Source organism: Homo sapiens, chromosome X, assembly GCF_000001405.40.
Source record: "Homo sapiens chromosome X, GRCh38.p14 Primary Assembly".
Classification (NCBI taxonomy): domain Eukaryota; kingdom Metazoa; phylum Chordata; class Mammalia; order Primates; family Hominidae; genus Homo; species Homo sapiens.
This window is the reverse complement of record NC_000023.11, coordinates 105,522,406-105,539,120: the sequence shown is the minus strand read 5'-3', so window position 1 is coordinate 105,539,120 and position 16,715 is coordinate 105,522,406. Positions and strand designations below refer to the sequence as shown.

Below are 16,715 nucleotides of genomic sequence, written 5' to 3'. Positions count from 1 at the left end.
TGCTCTGGGGAGTATGGCTGTTTTAATGATAATGATTCTTCCAGTCCATGAGCATGGAATATTTTTCCATTTGTTTGTGTCATCTCTGATTTTTTTTCAGCAGTGTTCTGTAGTTCTTATAGAGATCTTTCACCTCCTTGGTTATCTGTATTCCTAGGTATTTTATTCTTTTTATGGATATTGTAAATGGGATTGAGTTCTTGATTTGGCTCTCAACTTCAACATTATTGGTGTGTAGTAATGCTACTGATTTTTGTACATTGATTTTGTATTCTGAAAGTTTACTGAAGCTGTTTATCAGTTCCAGAAGTCTTTTGGTGGAGTCTTTAGGGTTTTCTGGGAATAAAATTATATTGTCAGTGAAGAGAGAGAGTTTCACTTCTTCTTTTCCTATTTCGGCGCCTAGTATTTCTTTCTCTTGCCTGATTACTCTGGCTAGGACTTCCCATCATGGAAGTTGTTGTTAACTTTATCTGCAATATTTTCAGTTAAGTTCAGGAAAATGAAATCAGCCTGAAGAGGTTTGAAGGGTAAATGGAAGCTCACAAAGGAAAGAAGGTAATGTGAATATATCTTAAAATGAACTTGCCTTTCAAATTTTCTTTTCAGCAGAGAAGTGGAGTGATCATTGCAGTAGATGTGGTTGTAGAAAGTTTGTGTCTTTCTGTAAAATGTATTAGAAAAGTAACAGAAAGGTTTTTTTTTTCTTTTTATAAAATGGGTGACTGGAAAATACTAAGGCAGGTTAATGTTGATGGGAATGATCCAATAAACAAGGGAAAATTGGCCGGGCGCAGTGGCTCATGCCTGTAATCCCAGCACTTTGGGAGGCCGAGGTGGGCAGATCACGAGGTCAGGAGATCGAGATCATCCTGGTTAACACGGTGAAACCCTGTCTCTACTAAAAATACAAAAAATTAGCCGGGCGTGGTGGCGGGTGCCCGTAGTCCCAGCTACTCGGGAGACTGAGGCAGGAGAATGGCGTGAACCCAGGAGGCGGAGCTTGCAGTGAGCCGAGATTGCGCCACTGCACTCCAGCCTGGGCGACAGAGCCAGACTCCGTCTCAAAAAAAAAAAAAAAAAAAAAAGAAGGGAAAATTAGCATTGCAGAAAAGGGAGAAGCTAACTGAAGAGGCACAATTTTTGAAGAGGAGAAAGAGGATGCAAATTGTGAGTAGATGAAGGGTTTTCCTTTAATAAAAGGGGAGATGGATATACCCTCCTTTGGAAACTGTAAGAAAGGGGAAGAATATGTATGCAGATAAAGATAGGATTGTAGATTTGAGGACAGGGAGATAGAGGAGTTTCTAGATGACAATGATGATGATGATAGAAAACACTTAAAACTACTTATTATTTGTCACCCATTACACATACACATACACAAAATTTACTCAAAACTATCAGGTAAATGCTATTATCTCCATTTTACAAATTAAGAAACTGAAACACATAAAGGTTGAGAAATTTGCTAAAGGTCCTACTGCTGGTAGGTAGTTGAGCTGGAATTCACACTCAAGCAGTATTGATTGAATGTTCATACTTCTAAACATACACTGCTTATTTGATGAGGTATGGTAATCAGATATAAGCAAAGGTAGAAAAACTTGGATGAGGAAAGAAAACATATAGAATAATCATTTTTATAAGTCGGAAGGTGAGCCTAAAGAGGAATATAGTAGAATTACTGGGTAGTGTTTCATTCCTATTTTAGTTTTGAGACCTTAATTGAAACAGAAGCCAGTCAGCTGTGATTAGCAGAAGGTTCAGAAAAGCCATGTATAGGTCAACGTTCCCCATTAAATTATGGGTTCCTGGAAATGAAAGATAGATACACCAGCTCTTGTCTGTGTATTCACCAGAGCATTCTACAAATAATAGGCACCTAATGTCTGTTTAACTGCATTTGTTTGATCTATTGTTCCCAAATAAAATCATATGAGAGAGGCTTGTTAAAAATATTCATTCTCTAAAGGAAAAGACCTTCTAACTATGATTCAAACTTTAGATGCAATAAAAGATTGATACATTTGACTGCCTAAAAATTTCTACATGGCAAAAAAAATCTACCATAAGCAAAGCAAAAAGTCACAACATGATAAACAAAAATGTTATTTGCAACGTGTATCATAAAAGGGCTAATATCCCTAATATATATAGATCTATACTCTTCAAAATACAGGGAAAATAAAAGATCAAAACTGTGTTAGAAAAATAGGTGAAACACATGAACAGATAGTTTAAAAATATATGCAGTTACTCCTTACATATGTTAAAAAAGATGTACAACTTTACTTATAAGATAAATGCAAATCAAAACTGCACTGAAATATGATTTTTCATACATCAGTTTGAAAACACTTAAAAGTTTGCTAATACACTGTTGCTGAGGCTGTGGTGAAATAGAAACTCTCATGTGTTGCTGGTAAGAGTGCAAAATAATATGATTCCTTCAAGGGGAATTTAAAAATGTACTATGTTGTGCTGGTAAATGTTTGACAACTGGTTCTCCAGAAAAGAAAAAATCAAAACCACACCCAAAAAGTCCTGATGTGTGGCATTTACTGATTTTCTTTGTGAAATAGTACCACCATGGCCAATTTCAAGCTACGAAGGTGAAGTCACTGAACACATTTTGGGAAGAGATGCACATTAGCACACTATTGTATAGGTTTTTTCCTTTTTTTTTTTTTTTACCATATAAAATCAATTAACATTAATAACTTCAAGAAAACAGATAATAGAAAAATGTAGATAAAAAGAATTAAGAAGTAATGATTTTATTTCTTACCTTAATTTTGTAACTTTTATTATTTTAAGAAGACTATTTAATGACATATTGTAACATGAAAAAGCAGATTCCCAGATTATAAGTACAGAATGCCATTCTTTCTGAAAACAAGGCAAGATAGAGGTCTGAAGTTATATTCACCAAGATAACAGCAGTGGTTATCTCTGGGAAACTGGTTTAATTTTTTATAATGAACATGTTTTTATAATAAGGGAAATATTTTTATTTAAAAACCTCACATATTAAGTTCTTATCAGAACTATATATTTGTAAAAAAAGAACTATATATTGGTAGCTATTACTATTCTACACTGATCTTTTTAGGGTTTTGTATTTTTTAATTTTGTTTTTAAATTAAGTGAATTTTTAATTTACTGTAAATTTTTTAATTTACTGAATTAAAATACAGTAAGCTGCCTTTTTTGGTGTAAAGTTGTATGAATTTTAACACATAAAAATTAGCATAACCACCACCACAATCAGGATAAGAAGAGTTCTATCACCTTAAAAACATTCCTTCATGCTACTGCTTTGTAGTCACACCCTCCCCTCACTCCTAACCTCTGGCAGTGGCTTGTCTGCTTTTTATCACCATCAATTTATATTTTTGAGAATGCCGTGGAAATGGAAGTACATAACTTTTTGAGACTGGCTTCTTTCACTCAGTCTAGTGCCTATAAGATGAATGCAGGTTGTTGCTTGTTTCTATATTTTGCTCCTTTTCGTTGCCAAGTAGTATGGATGTACCATGGTTTATTTATCCATTCACCTGTTGAAGGACATTTCCAGTTTTCGGAGATTATGAATAGAGCTGCTATGAACATTCATGTGTGTTTATGTGTGAACCTAAGGTTTTATTTCTCTACAGTAAATACCTCACAGTGGGATGGTAGAGTCCTATGACAAGTGTATGTTTAACTTTAAGAGAATCTGCCAAACTTTTTTCCAGAATGGCTGTAACATTTTGCATGTCCATCTGCAATAAATGAGGGTTCTAGTCCTGCTGCATTCTCACTAGCACTCAGTATTGTCAGTTTTCTTTTTCAGTCTTGCCATTCTACTAGGTGAGTCGTGGGTCTCGCGATCACTTTAATGTGCATTTCCCTGATGGCTAATTATAGTGAACATATTGAACTCTTCTTTATGCCTTCTTTATGTCGTTTTCTTATTGTTGAATTCTGAGAAGTCTTTCTGGATAAAGTCCTTTGTGGGATGTGATTTGTGAATATTTTCATACAGTTTATAGCCTGTCCTTTTATTCTCTTAACAGTGTCTTTTGCAGAGCAAACATGAATTTTGATGACGTCAACTTGTCTATTTTTCCTTTTATAGATTGTGCTTCTGATGGCATGTTTAAGAACTCTTTGCCTATTCCCAGGTCATGAATATTTTCTCCTATGTTTCTTCTAAAATTTTGACACTTTTATGTTTTTGTTTTTATATTTAGGTCTATGATCCATTTTGAATTAACTACTGTATAAGGTATGAGGTTTAGGTCAAGGTTCATTTTTTATTGTTGTTGTTTTTTGCATATGGATGTCCAACTGTCCCAAGGCCATATGTGAAAAATATTATCCTTTCTACATAGAATTGCCTTTGCACTTTTATCAAAAATCAGCTAGCCATAATTATATAGTCTATTTCCAGACTTTTGACTCCGTTAATTGATCTATGTATCCCTTTGCCAATACAACACCGTCTTGATAACTATTGCTGTAGAGTAAGTCTTAAAGTTCAGTAGCGTGATTCTTCCCATTTTTTCAAAAATTTTGGGTATTTTTTTATTTTTAATTTTTGTGGGGTACATGGTGGGTGTATATATTTATGAGGTACATGAGATATTTTGATACAGGCATGCAATGTGTAACAATTACATCATAGAAAATGAGGTATCCATCCACTCAAGCATTTATCCTTTGTCTTAAACAATACAATAATACTCTTTTAGTTATTTTAAAATATACAGTTAAATTATTTTGACTATAATGACCCCCTTATGCTATCAATTACTAAGTATTATTCATTCTTTCTGCTTTTTGGCATTACCTTAATTAGAAATATAAATTTTTAAATTGTAAGTTTATGTGATTTAATTCTTACTAATGGTTATGTATAACAACCAGCTTGCAAAATTCCTAAGAGTGTAACAATTGAATTTTGAAAGCCAGTATGAGTCAGCTTTAGCACGCCACTGAAATAGCTGAAAAACTAAATACATGTTTATTCCGACCCAACACTTTCACTTTTGGGAATTTACTTTGAAGGTATATCTTTGATAATACAAAAATACATATAAACAAATGATCACTGAATAATTTTTACTAATAACAAAATGTTAGCCATAATCTATATCTCTATACATAGGAAAACTGCACAATGAAGTTCTATGTGGCTGTAAAAATGAATGAGGATGGAGGAACTTGTCATAGCAGCTTTATTCTTTTTGGCTGAAAACCAGAAACTACCTAAATGTCTTCCAGTGGGTGAATGGTTAAATAAACTGTAGCACATCCATTCCACAGAATACTGCTCAGTAACAAAAAGGAACAAACTATTAATATATGCAACAATTTAGATAAACCTCAAAAAATTTTCTGAGTGAAAAAAATCTTATCTCAAAGGTATACATACTGTGTGACTCCATGTATGTAACATTTGTCAAATAATTATAGATACAAAGAACATAACAGTGGTTGTCACGGATTAGGGATAGTGAAGGAGAAGATGAGTATGGCTATAAAGAGGGTCTTTGAGGGAGCCTCGTGTTGATGCTATAGTTGAATACCTTGATTGTGGTGGTAGTTACACAAGGCTATACATGTGATAAAATGGCAAAAGCTGCACACACATGAACACAAATGGTACACACACAACTGGTAAAGTCAGAATAATTCTGCGGATTGTTCCAATGTCAAATTTCCTGGGATTTATATTGTACTGTGGTTGTGTAAGATATTAACCTTAGAGGAGGCTGGGGAAAGGGTACATAGGACTTTCTTATACATTTCTTTGCAACCTTCTATAAATCTATAATGATTTCAAAATAAAAATTTAAACAATTAGGTTCTCCATGAATTTATCTGTGGTGATTTCCCAGAAATATTGGCAAATTTATTTATTTTTTATTTTTTTATTTTTTTGAGATGGAGTCTTGCGCTGTCGCCCAGGCTGGAGTGCAGTGGCATGCTCTCTGCTCACTGCAACCTCCGCCTCCCAGGTTCAAGCAATTCTTCTGCCTCAGCCTCCCAAGTAGCTGGGACTACAGGCACGCACCACCACGCCTGGCTAATTTTTGTATTTTTAGTAGAGATGGAGTTTCACCATATTGGCCAGGCTGGTCTCGAAATCCTGACCTCGTGATCCACCCGCCTCGGCCTCCCAAAGTGCTGGGATTACAGGTGTGAGCCACCGCACCTGGTAGCAAATTTAAAAGGGTACAAAAAAGAATTAATCTAATATATATATGTATATCTAGAGGTGTATGTATATATGAAATACCTTGTAATACCTTTCATGAAACAAAAAGTAAGAAATTGGAAAAATATGTAACACATGTTTATTTTTTTCAAAATGTAACAAAGCAATAGTAAGGCAGAGAAATAAATGAAATTGTTTATATAAAGGAAGTAGACAGGCATGAGGTGAAAGGGATAAGGAAAGGTATAAAACTTTTCTGAATTTACTATTTTACAAAGTATTGATTTTTTAAATTATGTTATTTTACATATTTAAATACATACATTTAAAAAATGGGGGAAACTTTAAAATTGAATACAATCAGAAACTCATATATCTAACTGTACATCAAATAGATAACCCCACAAATGAAAAAAAAAATCAAAGTAAATTTTAAACAACATACTCTGTGAGTATATTCTAAGGATAAAGGTAAATGATAATAAAATTTTAACTTTAAACAGTTTGTTGTTGATATTGGTATGGGTACAGAAATTCCAAAACTGTTTTGTCTATATGTAGGAGTGAACAATTAGATATATTGGTGCTTTAGAGATTCAGGGTTCACACTTTGGGTGAAGGGAGGTGCAAATATAAAATGCAGGAAGAGAGAAACAAATTGTGGTGTTAGATTAGATTTAGAAGTATCAATATAAACTCATTTACCTGCTGAAAAAGTCTAGAATCAATGACACCAAATTAGCAATGAGCAAAGCTGTTGCCCATATCCCATGGTTTCAAAATACTGTTTTCCACTAAAATGAGCCAGAGCTCCTTCCAGGGCTGAGACAAGTAGAGTACACAGTGAGTCTGAAACACTGTGTTCCAGAAAGTAAGAAAGTGTTCAACAACTAATGGAGGAATTTCAAAAAACTGGAGGAATCACATACCTGTCTTTAAATTATACTACAGAGCTATAGTCACCCAAACAGCATGGTACTGGCACAAAAACAGACACATTGTCCAATGGAACAGAATAGAGAACCCAGAAAGCAATCTAGACACCTACAGTGAACCTGTTGCTGGAAAAGATGCCAAGAACAAACACTGGGGAAAAGCCAGTGTCTTCAATAAATCGTGCTGGGAAAACTGGATATCCATATGTAGGAGAATGAAATTAGATCCCTATCTGTCACCATATACAAAAATAAAATCAAAATGGATTAAGTATTTAAATCTAAGACCTCAAACTATGAAACTACTTCAAGAAAAAATTGGGAAAAATCACCAGGACATTGGTATAGTTAAAAATTTCTTGAGCAATACCCCACAAGCACAGGCAACCAATGCAAAAATGGACAAGTGGGATCACATCAAGTTAAAAAGCTTCTGCATGGCCAAAAAAAATATAACCAACAAAGTGAAGAGACAACCCATAGAATGGGAGAAAATATTTACATGCTACCCATCTGGCAAGGGATTAATAACCAAAATATACAGGGAGCTCAAACAATTCTATGGGGAAAAACCTATTAATTCAATCAAAAAATGGGCAGAATATTTGAATGGACATTACTCAAAAGAAGACATACAAATGGAAAACAGGTATATGAAAAGGTGCTCAACATCATTGATTATCAGAGAAATGCAAATCAAAACTGCAATGAGATGTCATCTGACCCCAGTTAAAATGGCTTATATCCAAAATACAGATAATAGGAAATGTTGGCAATGATTTGGAGAAAAGGGAACCCTCATACAGTGTTGGTGGTAACGTAAATTAGGCACCTCAAAAAACTAAAACTCAAGCTACCATATGATCCAGCAATCCCACTGCTGGGAATAAACTCAAAAGAAAGGAAACCAGTATATTGAAGAGATATCTGCACTCCCGTGCTTGTTGCAGCACTGTTCACAATAGCTAAGATTTGGAAGAAGTATCCATCAACAGATGAATGGATAAAGAAAATATGGTACATATAAACAATAGAGAACTATTCAGCCATCAAAAAGAATGAGATCCTGTCATTTGTAACAACATGGATGGAACTGAATATCATTATGTTAAGTGAAATAAGCCAGACACAGAACGACAAACATCCCATGTTCTCACTTATTTGTGGGATCTAAAAATTCAAGCAATTGCACTCATGTACATAGAGAGTACAAGGATAGTTACCAGAGGCTGGGAAGGGTAGTGGGGTGGGGGCGGGGGGGAAGGGATGGCTAATGTGTACAAAAGATAGAAAGAATGAATAAGACCTACTATATGATAGCATAACAAGGTGACTATAGTCAATAACTTAATTGTATATTTTAAAATATCTAAGAGTGTAAATAAATTGTTTATGACACAAAGGATAAATGCTTGAGGAAATGGACAACCCATTATCCATGATGTGATTATTACATATTACATTCCTGTATCAAAGCATCTCATGTACCCCATAGATGTATACACCTACTATGTATCCACACAAAAATTAAAAATTAAAAAATTAAAAGTAAATAAATATAAATAAAAAATAAAATGGAGAAAGGAGTTGAATAGATATTTCTACAAAGAAGGTATACAAATGGCCAATAATCACATGAAAAGATGCTTAACATCACTAATAATTAGATAAATGGAAAGCAAAATCACAATGACACACCCACTTCATACACATTCTTACCATTAGGAACAAAAATTTAAAAAAGTAAATAACAAGTATTTGTGAGGATGTGAATAAATTGGCACCCATGTGCATTGCTGGTAAGGATTATAACAGTTCAGCCACTGTGGAAAACAGTTAAGTGGTTCTTCAAAAAATAAATATATATGTACCATATGTTCCCCCATTCCATTTTCATGTATATACCCAAGAGAATTAAAAGCAGGGACTAGAATAGATATTTGCACACCAATGTTCATAACAGCTTTCCATGTTCATAGCAGCACTATTTACCATAGCTAAAACATGGAAGCATTCCAAGTGTCCACTGAAGAATGAATGGATAAACAATATGTGGTATATCCACACAATTCAGCCTTAAAAGGGAAGGAAATTCTCACACATGCTGCAATGTGGATGAACCTTGAAGACATCCTAAGTAAAATCAGCCACAAAAGGACATGTTGTATGGTTCCATATCTAGAATTGTCAAAAAGTATAAAGATAGAAAGTAGAATGGTGGTTTCCATGGAATAGAGACAGGCGGAATGAAGCTTTACTGTTTAATTGGTACAGTTTCAGTTTGGGAAGAAAAATTCTAGAGATGGATGGTAGTGATGGTTGCACAAAAATGTGAATGTTTTTAATGCCACTGAATTGTATACTTAAAATGGTTAAAATGGTAATAATTCACTGAGCTGTACACTTAAGATTTGTACATTTCAAAATGGACACATTTGATGAAAAAGAAAGAGTCTAGGAGTCTATAGTAATACTAATGAAGGAGGGGGTAATTCCTTTTCATATAAGAATACCAACTTATATGTGTGGAATGAGTTTAAAATGACCAGGTTGCAACCATCATCATAATCACTGGTTCTGGAAAGAAGCATCAGTGAAATATTTTGAGGAACAGAGTATTCAAATAGTCTCAAAGCATTGCCAACAGATTATTAATTTTATTTATAAAGGATAAAAAAATGCTTTTATAGTGATTTAATCTGTCAGATATCTCATTAAGCAAATAGTCAAACTAAGAATAACCAATAAAAGGAAAAAACAGAAATCATGTGCCTCACTGAAAAAGACACAGGATCACCCAAATCATATTCCTGTCAAAAATGTATAATGTGAATCTAATTATGAGCAAACAGATGAATTCAAATTGAAGATAATTTTACACAATAACTAGTCTGGTTATTTCAAAAATGTCAATGTCATGAAATCAATTTAAAATAAACTTAAATTACCTTGAATTTATACAAATTTTTATTTGTTAATTGTCCTCAATAAAGCTGGAAAAAATAAGTACAAATAAAATAAAAGGGCTTGGAAACTGTTCTAATTAAAGGCAACATGAAAATATAATGTGAAAATAAATGGAATGCATGATCTTTGCTTGGATTCCGGATCAGAAAAATATTATTAAGGATATCACTGGGATAATTGGGAAAATTTCAATATAGTATATGTGTTAGACATAGTATCTTATCAATGTTAAACTTTTTGAACATGATAGTTATATTTTGGTTATGTAGGAGAAGGTCTTGATTCTTATGAAACACATGCTAACTAATTTAGGGGTGAATTATCATATCTGCAACAGACTCTCAAGTGGTTTAGAAAAAAATACAGACATACCCGTGTATGTAGACATAGTACAAATGTGGTATAATGTTAACAACTGGTTAATCTAGGTAAAAGGCATATAAGTGTTCATTGTAATTTTCTTGCAATTATTCTGTGGGTTTAAAATTTTTCCAAATAAAATAATGTTGTGAAAAATAAAATAAAAATCTTTAAAAATATTCAGTCTCACCTAAAGGCATCTAATATTCTGGGACTGAAGCTGATATATTTGAAGGAAGAAAGGAATGGCTGGATGGCTAGATAAATAGCTTGGAGTCAAATGCTCTAAATTCTAGTCCAAGTTCTATCATTAACTTGTCATTTTATTTGAGTTTTCTCATGGGTCAAATAAGGGGTGATAATACCTCCTTGCCATGTTTACTTTATGGGGCTGTTGTAGGGATTAAATGAGATAACAGATAAAAAAGTACACTGACAAGGGGAAAAGTGCTATTCAAATTCAGAACACTTATATTGTTATTATCAATCTTAGAATACTTTTACAATGGCCACTACCAAATCCATTGTTGGAAACTCACAAGTATTGATTTGCACATTTTCAATGGTATAAATTCACCCCTTTGCTTCTGTAATTCCTGTATCCTATGACATGGGTATTCCCTGAAATGATTGATAGCCCTTGCAGGCTATCATTAGCAATGAATGAGACCAGTGGCGTCCAAGAGGATTCTCCTACATGCCTGCTTTCTGGGCAGCAGTTCTGCATATTTTCCATTTGAATCAGTGGTAGGAGTTCTTGTTAAATCAAGTGTAATCAGAGAAGATGGTGGGCAAAGGGAGGCTTGTAGAAGGAAAGAGGAAGGAAAGGTGGCAGGGTCACAAAGATACTACTTGATACATTTTAAGGGAGAGGACCAGAAAGTCCTGCCACTGTCACCTAAAGATATCTATCTTCTTGAGGTGTTCTGATTTTTCACTAGAACCACTGCTACCAATTTGCCATGTATTTAGTGGTAAAAAAATGATTCAAAGGTCGATATCTCATATACAGTATTTGGAAATACACAAATCAATTCTGTTTCAATAATCATAGCATGGGGCAAGACTCAATTATTGATTTCATATCCTTGGCACACAAATTGTACCATAGTTGCCCTAAGGGTAACTTTTGGTAAAACAACAACAACATTAAAATCCCTAAACTATTTCGGAAAGGAAACACACACACACACACACACACACACACACACACAACACACTCTCACATATACTGCATGTCCTTTTTATCCTGTAGGCTTTGAGGAGCAAGCCACATTTGTGACTTATGATCCACAACTGGCCATTATTTACTTGGTAGAGACACTGATTCACATAGAGACATAAATAGTAGAGACCTAGAAATATAGGTCCATTCAATTGTACCATCTTACAAATAATGGCTACTGATCAATCTTATTTTAAATTATGTCTTCTGTCATTCATTCATTCAATTCTTACAACTCACTCTAGAAACTAGTCTTTTGGATTGTGGTTAGGTGCTCTTTGTCAAATTCTCGTTAATAGAATAACCACGTTAAACAGACTAGGAGGCAGCATATTGCACTTGTCCAGAATTCAAGAGAGTTTTCTTCCTGGACTTTGTGAACTTAGAAAATTAAAATAATAATTTTCTTAGCTTCCTTATCTGTAAAATGAACCTAATACATCTTGCTCAACCTTATTGTTATTATGGTAATCAAATCCAGAAATTCATTCAAGATAATCCATAGTATAAAATGTAAACATTATTATTTTGCATCAAACTTTGATATACACGAAATACATGTCTCCTGCCCAGAAAGCACTAAACCAGAAAAAGAACCAGACAATACAAAGACAACTTAGTGTATTTTTCATTTATGACTAAATCAACAGCCAAGATGTCTAATCGCACTCCTAAAATTTCTGTGTAGCCAAGTTGTAAAGCTTAGAAGAAAATTAAATTTAGAGCCTGGCAAAGAGTAACTGCCAAAATGCCAGAGTCCTTTTTTCCTGGCAGCATTAATGAAGCCCATAATAGCAAACAGTGACAGCAGTCCTGTCAATAACCACCAACACAGGAACAGTGCTTGTCTAGGCATGATGGAATTCATACTATTTCTAAATGTGATGCTTTGTTCAATATTAAATATTTGACTCAAGATTTGATCTTTGATACATGGGAGAACACAATCAAGGAAGAACAAATTGGGAGAAATGTTGATGAAAGCTGTTATTAAATAATTAGGTGCATTTTCTGTATGGTAAAACAATTTGACAAGTCTGATCTTCTCAATGGCAGAGTTTTAATCTGAGTTCTCCCAGAGGAGATTGAGGTGATTAAATCATGTATTTCTTAAAAACAATAGCCAAGCCTTAAATGGGCAACACACTGATCATACCTGATAAAAATTCAAGGAAGTTACATATCATATTCAGAATTATTAAACATTTTCTAAAACTATGAAAAATAAGAAAACACAAAGGAAACAGATAAAGTTACTCTGTGGGAAAATTGAGAAAAGATTGGGGCTAGTATTTAATATTACTTCTTTTAGAACCACAGCTGCTGATAGAGTTGATACAGTAGTTATTTTAATTACTATTAATACAATCCATTTCAACTGTGGGATTAAGAAAGCTTTGAGTATAAAGTGCAGCTTCCATGTATGAATCTCAAAATGTCTAACAAACATTATCTACCTTTTGTGAGAGGAGTAAAGTCAGCAGTTTTTGCCAGTAGAGAAAGAAAGTTATTAACTTGCCTGCAGATGCAGGGTGCCATGGGACAGGGGCAACTTGTATGAGTTTACAAAGTAGAGGAAATTAATTTCCTTATATTCTTTTCCCTCTTGCTAACTTGGGAAGAGGCAGGGAAGAGGGAATAAGAGAAGGAGAGAAGTGTTTTCTATCTTTTGTGCTCCAGGGGGAAGAACTAAGCAAATACAATAAAACTGCATCAAGTAATTAACTGACTAGTCAACTCACAAAGATGCACCAAGCACATATACCCATATCTGTGCCAATCATTTATATAAAGAGTGAAATGAGTCATTATCCTTAATTAATACTGTGATTACAAAAGAAAATGTTGCTATCTTTTAGACATAAACGCTGAAGTATTTAGGGGTGAAACATCATGTTATTTGTAATTACCTTAACGTAAATCTGGAAAAATAAAGAGGGAGTAAACACGGCAAAATGTTCACAGTTGTACAATCTAGGTACTAGATATTTGGACATTCATTATATTATTCTTTTTGTTTTTCTGTATATTTTCAAAGCCTTATACTAAAAGGTTAGATTTTTTTTTTACCAATTCAGAGTAATGAGAAAACGCTAATTTAAATCAGAAAAAAATCTGAAAAACAACATATTTTGAAATGAACTATTTTTACCTTTGATCCTTCATAGCAGCTGAAACTAAACTAGTTTTGCCTTATATTGTATCATTTGTTTGGTTGACTAATATATCCCTTACTCTAAAAAGGATTGATACATTCAGACAATTAACAAAATCAAATAAAATTAAAAATAATAGAAGCATAAGAGAGAATCACAACATGCAAGTGATAAAGTCTTTGCCCTTGTATCAAGTGGGTCACAATGTGAACCCAAACTAGCAGCAACAAGAAAATATCCTAGAATGTTTATTTGGAAAAAAATAAACTAATTACAAGGAAAAAACTCATGATACTATTACAGCTAATATTTGCTAAGCATTTATCAAGTGTTTCAGGCATATTTCTAAGCACTTTTCATATATAAATTCACTGGATTCTCACCACAGGGACTACTTTACCCTCAATTTACAGGTGAAAAAACTGACATTCATAGAAGGTAAGTAACTGACTTGCCAAAGGCCACATAGCCAGGAAGTGACAGAATTGGAATTTAACCACAGGTAGTCCTGATTAAAAAAACCACATTTAAATCTCTAATTAATATTGTCTCTTTTCCTGGTAAGTGCAACATTTTAAAATAATGAGACCAGAAGAAAATATATATTCCATAGGTTTTTGTAGAGCAAATAATGAACAACATCCTCAAAAAAACATCTTCACTGTAAACACAGTGACAGGTTTCATTAGGCTAGTCATGATGTTTTGTAATTATCATATCTAGTATTTGCAGTAAATAAGTTCTTAGGTGCTTGAAAATGATGTGTTTTAAGTAGCTTAAACACACCTTCCTATATCTGCTAAACCTGTTAATCTGCCGAGAATAACTGCACCCCCAGCTTTTTTCAGAGTAATATGAGTCGTCACAAATTCTGAATTATTGGAGCCTAAATCTCTGACATGTACAAAGTGGCTAGGCTCATTTAGACTTAATTTATACTTATTTTGGATAATATCATGTATTGCAGACTTCAAATGTTGTGATAGATTGAATAATGAAGTCAAATGGTGGGAAATGAATGATGAGCAGCTTGACCGAATATTAAATTCAGTTATGGTAACATACCATGAATTTGGTCTTGAATAAATCAACCAAATGCCCCAGCACCTGCCTACCTATATCTCCTTTCCTCTATTTCTTGCTCATCTTTTAAGTGAGGCCTTTGAGCCGAGAACTTCTACCTAGAGGATATCTCAATGACTGTGCAATAAAAATGATAAGCAAGATACAAATCTGTTCTTAAACTCTAGAATTATCTGATTAGGTAAGATTCAAACCTGAGATGAGCTGTCATTAAATTACAACATAACTGCACTTAAAAGTCTTGGTTTGCTCATTTCAGAAAGCACTGTTCATTCATATACTGAACTGGGTAGGAGGCAGGGGAAACAGGTGGCCTATTACTAGATCCATTTAACAAGAGACTTATGCATTACATATCCATCTCGAGGCAATTAGGCTGATCATTTTTTTTTCTTTTATGGCTTCATTGAAAACTCCTGGCAATAAAGCAATTATAAAATATGTATCCTAGCGTTTATCTATGATATCAAACGCAATGGCCTTCTTATGCATCAGTGGTGGACCCCTATAGACTTTTCTCTGAAGAAATTTAGTATTTCCAAGGCAAATTCACTGTTCAAAAGATATGTAAATATGAGGAGGTCTGGTGTATGAATAGCAAATGGGATGGATGAAACAATTTGTTTCAATTGTCAAATCATTGTTTGTTGATTTTAAAACAAATACCAATTATTACCTGCCAAATTTATTATTATTTAAACACAGATGTGTTTCTAATGTGGATTTGAACACTTAGTATGTACCAGGCTCTGTGAAAAACATGCTACAGGAATTATTTCACTTAATGCTCATAGCCCTAAAAATTATCATCTTTACCTCCATTTTATAGATGTGAAAACTGAGGCTGAGAGAGGTTACTTATGTGATCCAAGGTCACAAAACTAGTAAATGGTGGAACCAGGATTTCAATTCAGACACACTAACAGAACTTGCAATGCTAACTACCATGCTAATCATTTTTAGAAGCAGGATGCCAAAATATTTGTGGAATAAGAAAAAAGCAATCCACAATCATCTAGATACTGATGTTGTACATGAAGTTTTAAGTGGTAGGTTGGGGAAGACTAAACAAGATCAGGACTGAAAGTCTAGTTAGAACCCTAGATTTGGTCAAAGACAGAGATTAGAACATGGTGAAAAGATATGGTATTCTGGAAAATAGCAGACTGGAAAACAAAGAATCAGATTCTAAGTCCTGCTGTTTCTAGCCAAGCAGGGTCAGATGAAGCAAGTGATTGAGTTTTAAGAACAAAAAATTGGTAGGAATCCAAGTAGGAAGGTGATTGATATGAGAGAAATAAGTTTCAGGGACCCAGTCATTGAAAACCTCTGGGGAATGTTTCCCAAACAGGATACTGATTATTGAAGAAGCACTGAGATACCATGGGCAGCATTGTACCAGCAGGTAAATCAACAAGATCATGGTTCTTAACTTTGCCTTCACACTAGAAATAAAATACGTAAACTTTTAAAATATCCTGATGTCCAGGTTATATTCCAAACCAATTACATCAGAACCTATGGATGTAAGATCAAGTCAAGAATACCTTTTAAAGCTCCCCATTGATTATAATGTGTAGCCAAAATTTAGAACCACTGAACTAGACACCAAGTCACAGAACAACTTGAAATCTTTATAGGTCCCTATGTAGGCAGAGAAAGTATCAAAGAAGCTGGGGTGGGTTTGAAACTACAGGAATGTAATTACTGGTCTCAACTTTAAATGTTACAATAATGTACATGCACAAGCATGTCATTTTACTTGTTTCTAAATAATGACA

At 33.9% G+C, this 16,715-nt stretch overlaps 1 protein-coding gene across 2 annotated transcripts in view; it reads right to left on the bottom strand.

The window, feature by feature from the left end:
- IL1RAPL2 (interleukin 1 receptor accessory protein like 2) overlaps positions 1-16,715 on the bottom strand; it is a 1,201,631-nt gene that overhangs the window by 228,709 nt on the left and 956,207 nt on the right. The gene's annotated exons all lie outside the window — the stretch shown is intronic.